The sequence below is a fragment of the Homo sapiens genome, chromosome 11 (genome assembly GCF_000001405.40).
Source record: "Homo sapiens chromosome 11, GRCh38.p14 Primary Assembly".
Taxonomy (NCBI): Eukaryota; Metazoa; Chordata; class Mammalia; order Primates; family Hominidae; genus Homo; species Homo sapiens.
Genome location: NC_000011.10, coordinates 64,495,071 through 64,502,491, shown reverse-complemented (window position 1 = coordinate 64,502,491; position 7,421 = coordinate 64,495,071). Strand labels below are relative to the sequence as shown.

Below are 7,421 nucleotides of genomic sequence, written 5' to 3'. Positions count from 1 at the left end.
ACATTGGAGAGGGTCAAGAAAAATGTCCCATCATGTGTTGGCCAGTATTGATCTCTAGGCAGAGAAATTAGAATGTTATTTGATATATTTGGTTTTTAGTTATTTATTCATTTATTCAACTAAAATGTAGTGACCACTAAAACATGCCTGGCTCTGTGGTGTTCACTGCAATTGAGACTATGAGCTCTGGTGTCAGACTGCCTGGGTTCAAATCCTGGCACTGACATTTACTGGCTGTGTGATCTTAGGCGAGTTGCTTAGCCTTTCTGTGCCTAGGGTTCCTCATTTGTAAAATGGGTTTATTAAAACTTTCTCCAAGGGTTGTTGGAAAAATGTAAAGTACTTGAAACAATGTCTGGCGCAGAGTAAGTACTCAATAAATATCAGCCAGGCTTCATTAATTTAATTCATCAAGTAAAAATGTACTGAGCACCTGGTATATGACAGGCACTGTTCCAGGTGCTTGGGATATGCCTGTGAAGAAAATGGTAAAAATCTCTATGCCCGTGCAGCTGACGTAGACATAGACACAGACATAGACACAGTCCAATCGGGGAGACAGGAATAGAAAATAACCATAATCCAGAAGTAAATTACCTAGCTTGCAGGAAGGTGGTAAATGCTATAGGAATAAGACTAAGCAGAGTAACCGGGAGGGGGATCAGGAGTGGTCGGAAGTGCAATTACAAGTGGGGCGGTCAAGGTCAGTGTCGTCAAGAAGGTCGTGTATGAGTAAAGACTCAGTGGTGAGGGAGTCAGCCATACAGATTCTGGGAATATGCATTCCAGCAGAGGAAAGAGCCAGTGCAAAGGTCGCAAGGTGGGAGGTGTGGTCGATGAAAAGCAGGAGGACAGATGGGAGGTGGCAGAGTCATGGGTAGTAGGAGGAGACGAGGTTAGCATTCCACACCCCAGTGCACTGGACAGATAGCAAAACGGAAACAAAGATAGAATTGACTTTTTCCCTTTTTATATGTTTTCCAAATTTTCTTTAATAGGCATTTTTAAGCTGGGCAAGGTGGCTCACTCCTATAATCCCAATACTTTCAGAGGCTGAAGCGAGAGGATCGCTTGAGGTCAGGAGTTCAAGACCAGCCTGGGCAACAGAGGGAGACCCCTGTCTCTACAAAAAAGTTTAAAAATTAGCCAGTCATAGTGGAGCATGTCTGTGGTCCCAGCTATTTGTGAGGCTGAGGTGGGAGGATGGCTTGAGCCTGGGAGTTTGAGGCTGCAGTGAACCAAGATTTTGCCCCGGTACTCCAGCCTGGGTGACAGAGTAAGACCCTGTTTCAAAAAAGAAAAAAAATTTATATATATATATGTCAAAGCTTGGTACGGAAATCTTTTTGCAATAAAAGAAGTTTTGGAGTTGTGGAACAAAACTTTCAATATCCTCTAATATCGTCCTTCACTTTAGCCTTTTCAGGAATTTAGGATCTGGGACACAGGGCATTATGTGGTGGGGGCTCCTGAGCAGCACAGGCTTCTGTCCTCTCTCCCTTACCCACAAGCAGGCCCAGCCGGCCCCGGGAGCCTTTAGGGCAAGGGTCCCCAGCCCCTGGGCCACAGACTGGTACCAGGCCACACAGCAGGAGACGAGCGGCTGGGGAGCTAGTGAAGCTTCATCTGTTCTTACGGCCGCTTCCCCGTTGCTCACGTGACCACCAGAGCGCCACTCAGGTCAGATTAGTGCCGGCGTTAGATTCTCACAGGAGCACGAACTCTGCTGTGAACCCCGCATGCAAGGGATCTAGGCTGTGCGCTCTTTATGAGAACCTGATGCCTGATGATCTGTCGCCGCCGTCGCATTGCAGGAAAACAAGGTCAGGGCTCCTACTGATTCTACATTATGGTGAGGGGTATAATTACTTCCTTATATATTACAACGTAATAATAATAGAAATAAAGTGCACAATAAATGAAATGCCCTTGAATCATCCTGAAACCACCCCCACCCCCATCCCCCACCATCTGGAAAATTTGCCTTCCTCCAAACCAGTCCCTGGTGCTAGAAATGTTGGGGAGCGCCGCTTTAAGAGCCTCACAAGAGATCAGTCTTGAAGACGCAGTTGGGGTCACGTGACCCGAGTCCGCCCATCACAGGGCTGGCCCCGGGTGCCATTTTGAGAGCGTGCTCCTTCCTTAACTCCTCCTGGTGGGGCTAGAATTTGGTGGATTGGGTGTTTATTTGATGAGGTCGCAGCATTTGGGTCTAATTTAAAACTTAGGATGTTCTTTAAATGTTTCATTTCTTCTTTGGTTCATTTCCATGATGCTATGCCACCAAAGGGGAGCCTCTAAGGGATTTTCCTTCCAAAATGTTGTATTTTGCTGGAATTTTGCAATTTCTTTGTTAAAGAATCCACCCACTCTTCCATTGCTCTGCATTCTTTCTGAAAGGACGTATACCTTGTGCGTCCAGTGAGACCTGAATCATTGTTAAAGTTGGCCAGAGACCAACAGCCTCAGGGGTGAGTATAGCTTGGGCACCCGCCCCCCCACCCAAAGCTCTGAAGACAGAGTGGGAGCTTCTTGTGGCCGCCCCCACCCCAACCGTCCTTCCTTTGTGGCGTCCTTCTGGTTTATTCTTCCACACACAGCACTTGTTCTTTCCTGTGACTGTTGGGACACTCGTAACCGTTTATTTCCTTGTTTATTATCTCTCTCCCCCACACACCCAGGCTGTACACTCTAGGAGGGCAGGACCCCATCCTCTGCTCCCCACACTGTGCACCGTGCCAGGCCTTTGCTATGGGTGTGTTTTATGAACAAATAAAGCGCATCTTCTCTCACTGGGGAAAGGTGAGGAAGCGATTCTTCCGCCTTTAATGGGGCCCTTCTCAGCCTTTCTCCCTTCACATTCTTCTTCAGCGAGCTGGGGAGACACCTGACCATAGACGGGGCTAAGATTCCCCATTCCAGGAGCTACTAAAGCCATCCCCAGGGTCGTGTTTGAAGAAAAAGCCAATGAGGACTGTTCTTTCCAAGGCTGTGGCCCACAGGGGTGGTGAGGCCAGCAGGCAGTCAGAGGAACAAGTGTCCACCCACAGTGCCAGCCCCAGCCCACACCCTAAACCAGGAGCCCTCAACACGGGCAGAACCCGGAATAGGTTTGGAGACTTCTGGAGGCATTTTGTATCACAGTGACTGGGTGAGGACACTGTTGGCATCCGCAAAAACTGGGGTGGGGACTTAAAATGTTCCACAGTGGGCAAGGTGGTCCCACACCACCAAGATTCATCCATATCCCGCACAACTTCTGAATGTCCACTGGACTGCATTTAAAATCATTTTAAATCATTTTAAAGTTATTCTGAAATGCTAAAGAAGTCTCATAATTTCAAAATTAAATTTTATTATAGTACTTTGTTTATAATCATTCAGCACCTAAAACCTAATATTATTTTACTATATATAAAAATATAATGTGTTATATTTTATATTATATATATTTTTAACTGAATCCTGAAGTTTTCAACTATCATGTGAAATGAGATTGTACTTTGTTTTGTTCCAATTTTTATCAAGACTTAGTCACCCATTTGGAAGACCATGTCTCCTAGTGGAGTTGTGCTTGGACATTTATCTATTATAATACAGATTACTTTATTTAAGTTATCTTTATTTCTTCTTTATTACTGTCAGAGAATTATATTGAGGTCTAAAAATGTATCTCTGAATTCCATTTCAGGACAGTAAAGAAGGAGCTACATAATCTTTGTGGTAGAATGGGATTGTGGGGCTGTTGGGTTGAGGATGGTTGCGGGAAGCAGGGTGTAGGGACTGCACAGATCCCAGTGGAATTTTCCACCTGGTCCTGATGGGTCATCCTCGTGCCTTCCCTCTGGTTCTACTCACCTTTCCAGGCTGAATCATTACCCCAGCTCCCCTCCCATTGGTGCCCACCTTTGTCACCAGTATGGTGGCCAAGTTGACTGCCTTTCCTCTTGTCCTATCTCCTTGCTTCTAAAGTTTAGTTTCTTATACATAGGCTCCAGAGTACATGGAGTGAAAATTATGCAATTTCACTTTCAAAATGAGGATTCGAAGGTAGCTCTTGAGCAGTGACCAGGGTATGGCTCCCTGACACCATGACTCAGTTTCCTCCATCCATGTGGTCTGGGCGAGGGTCACAGTGGGGCGGGGGCTGATGTGGTGCCTCTTGGAATTTCATCATCATGGCAGGGACAGTGGCTTCTCTGTGAGGCAGCCAAAGCTGCAATTACTTCCTCCTTCTCTTTATCCTACTTGGTATTTTCGGGCCTCTTGAATCTATGAGTATTAACTCATCTATGAGTATTAACATTAGTTCTTCCTCAAATCCAGGGAAATCTCAGCCATAATCTTTCCAAATGTTTCTGCACCATTTCCTCCAGCCACTCTTCTGAGGCTCTAATGAAACAGATTAGATCTTTTCATCTCTCTTCTGAGAGACAAGAGACAGAGAGGTTTTGTTTCTTCATGCTTTATTTTGCCAGGTTTATTCTGACCTATATTCCAGTTCACTAATTCTCTCTATACCTATGTATAATAAACTAATAATTGAATTCCTGTCTTAGGAATTAGGAATTCAGTGGAATTCCTAATTTTAGTTATTTTTTAGTTCTAGAATTTCTATTTGGTTCTTTGTCAAAGCTGCTATGTCAGGTATTGCTGCTGCTGCTTTTTTATTTTTGGCCAAAAAATTCAAGCATAGCATGTATTTTCTTGAACATAGTAAACATAATTATTCCATAGTCTACAGTTTTTATAGTATATTGAATATTGTGTCCCTCTGTTACTGTTTGTGCTGGTTCTTGCTCTAAGTGTCTCTTCATGCATCTGATTATTTTGGAATGTGTAGTTGATACCTTATTTTATTTTATTTTGTTTTATTTTATGTTATTTTGAGACAGAGTCTTGCTCTGTCTCCCAGGCTAGAGTTCAGTGACTCTATGTCTGCTCACTGCAACCCCCACCTTCCAGGTTCAAGCGATTCTCCTGCCTCAGCCTCCTGAGTAGCTGGGATTACAGGTGGCCACCACCACATCCGGCTAATTTTTGTATTTTTAGTAGAGATGGGGTTTCGCCATGTTGGCCAGGCTGGTCTCGAACTCCTGGCCTCAAGTGGTCCACCCACTTTGGCTTCCCAAAGTGCTGAGACTGCAAGTGTGAACCATCACGCCTGGCCTGATAACTATTTTAAAAATTAACTATAGAGGCCGGGTGCAGTGGCTCACGCCTGTAATCCCATAACTTTGGGAGGCTGAGGTGGGCAGATCACGAGGTCAGGAGAACGAGACCATCCTGGCCAACAAGGTGAAACCCTGTCTCCATTAAAATACAAAAAATTAGGCCAGGTGCGGTGGTTCATGCCTATAATCCCAGCACTTTGGGAGGCTGAGGCAGGTGGATCACGAGGTCAGGAGATTGAGACCATGCTGGCTAACACAGTGAAACCCCCTCTCTACTAAAAATTCAAAAAAATTAGCCGGGTGTGGTGGCGGGCGCCTGTAGTACCAGCTACTCGGGAGGCTGAGGCAGGAGAATGGCGTGAACCCGGGAGGCAGAGCTTGCAGTGAGCCAAGATCGCGCCACTGCACTCCAGCCTGGACAACAGAGTGAGACTTGGTCTCAAAAAAAAAAAAAAAAAATTGGCCGGGCGTGGTGGTGCGCACCTGTAGTCCCAGCTACTTGGGAGGCTGAGGCAGGGGTATCGTTTGAACCCGGGAGGCAGAGATTGCAGTAAGCCAAGATCAAGCCACTGCACTCCAGACTGGAAACAGAAGGGGACTCTGTCTAAAAAGAAAAAAAATTAATTGTAGAAAACACTTGAGACCTGAGGGATGTAATTCTCCTTTAAAGATAATATTTCTTTTCCTTTTCTTTTTTCCAGGTACTGAGGATAATAACGATCTAGAATCATCTCTTCTTCTTCTTCTTTTTTTTTTTGGAGACAGGGTCTCACTCTGTTGCCCAGGCTGGAGTGCAGGGTCATGATCAGGGCTCACTGCAGCCTCTACCTCCTCGGCTCAAGCAATCCTACTTCAGCCTCCCGAGTATCTGGGACCACAGGTGCACACCACTATGCCTGGCTAATTTTTTAAAAATATTTTTTGTAGAGACCAGGTCTCACCATGTTGTCCAGGCTGGTCTCAAACTCCTGGGCTCAAGTGATCCTCCCACCTGGGCCTCCCAAAGTGCTGGGATCACAGGCATGATTCCACCATGCCCAGTCTAGAATCACCTTAATATAAATTCAGGGCTTCAGATTTTCGGAGCTGTCCAGATGATGAAAAGCTAAGATTATTCTATTTCCTTCCGTGTAGCCCTTTGGGTCCTAGCCTAAAGTGGGATAGGGTTTACAGGTTCCCATCTGTGATCTTGTGAAATATATATTTGGTCTTTTCCTGGCACACAACTCTTAAAATTCTTGGAATTTTCAAAGTGATGAGTGTCTTTTGTAGCTAATGAATTCACTGATGGCTGACAGCCCCTATGTAGCTTCAGGATGGTGGCTGGTCACAAGAAAGACCAAAGCAGGATTATATGATTAGGACTTTCATCTTGTCCCCCACCAACCTCTGGGGAAGAGAGAGGGGCTGAAGGTTAAATGGCCAATGACCAATAATTTAATCAATCATGCCTATGTAATAAAGCTTCCATAAAAACCCAAAAGGGAACTACTACTCAGCCATAAAAAGGAATGAATTAATGGCATTCGCAGTGACTTGGATGAGTTTGGAGAAAATTATTCTAAGTGAAGTCACTCAGGAATGGAAAACCAAACATCGTATATTCTCACTGATATGTGGCAGCTAAGCTATGAGGACACAAAGGCATAAGAATGATACAATGGACTTTGGGGACCTGGGGGGATGGGTGGGGGGGGGGGCGTGGGATAAAAGACTGCAAATAGGGTGCAGTGTATACTGCTTGGGTGATGGGTACACCAAAATCTCACAAATCACCACTAAAGAACCTACTCATGTAACCAAACACCACCTGTTCCCCAATAACCTATGGAAAAATATAAAATAAATTAAAAAATTAAACAACCCAAAAGGACTTGGTTCTGGGAGCTTCTGGATAGCTGAACACGTGGAGGTTCCTGGAGGGTGTGCACCTGGAGAGGGAAACATGCCCCTTCCCCATACCTCGCCCTATGCATTTCTTCATCTGTATCCTTCGTAATATCCTTTGTAATAAACTGGTAAATGTAAATAAGTGTTTCCTTAAGTTCTGTAAGTCACTCCAGCAAATTAATCAAACCCAAAAAGGGGGTCATGGGAACCCCCATTTATAGCTGGTGGGTCAGAATTACAGGTGGAACAACCTGGGGCTTTCGATGAGCACTGGAAGTGGGGGCAGCCTTGTGGGACTGAGTGCTCAGCCTGTGGGATCTGACGCCGTCTCCAGGTAGACAGCGTCAGAATTGAATT

General features: G+C 45.2%; 1 long non-coding RNA gene across 1 annotated transcript; it reads left to right on the top strand.

Moving 5' to 3' along the window:
* Positions 1 to 1,597: 1,597 nt before the first annotated feature.
* Positions 1,598 to 7,044, top strand: LOC124902690 (uncharacterized). The gene is made up of 2 exons (XR_007062721.1): positions 1,598 to 2,471; positions 5,876 to 7,044. It is a non-coding gene; the product is annotated as an uncharacterized LOC124902690 (long non-coding RNA).
* The last annotated feature ends 377 nt before the right edge of the window (positions 7,045 to 7,421 follow it).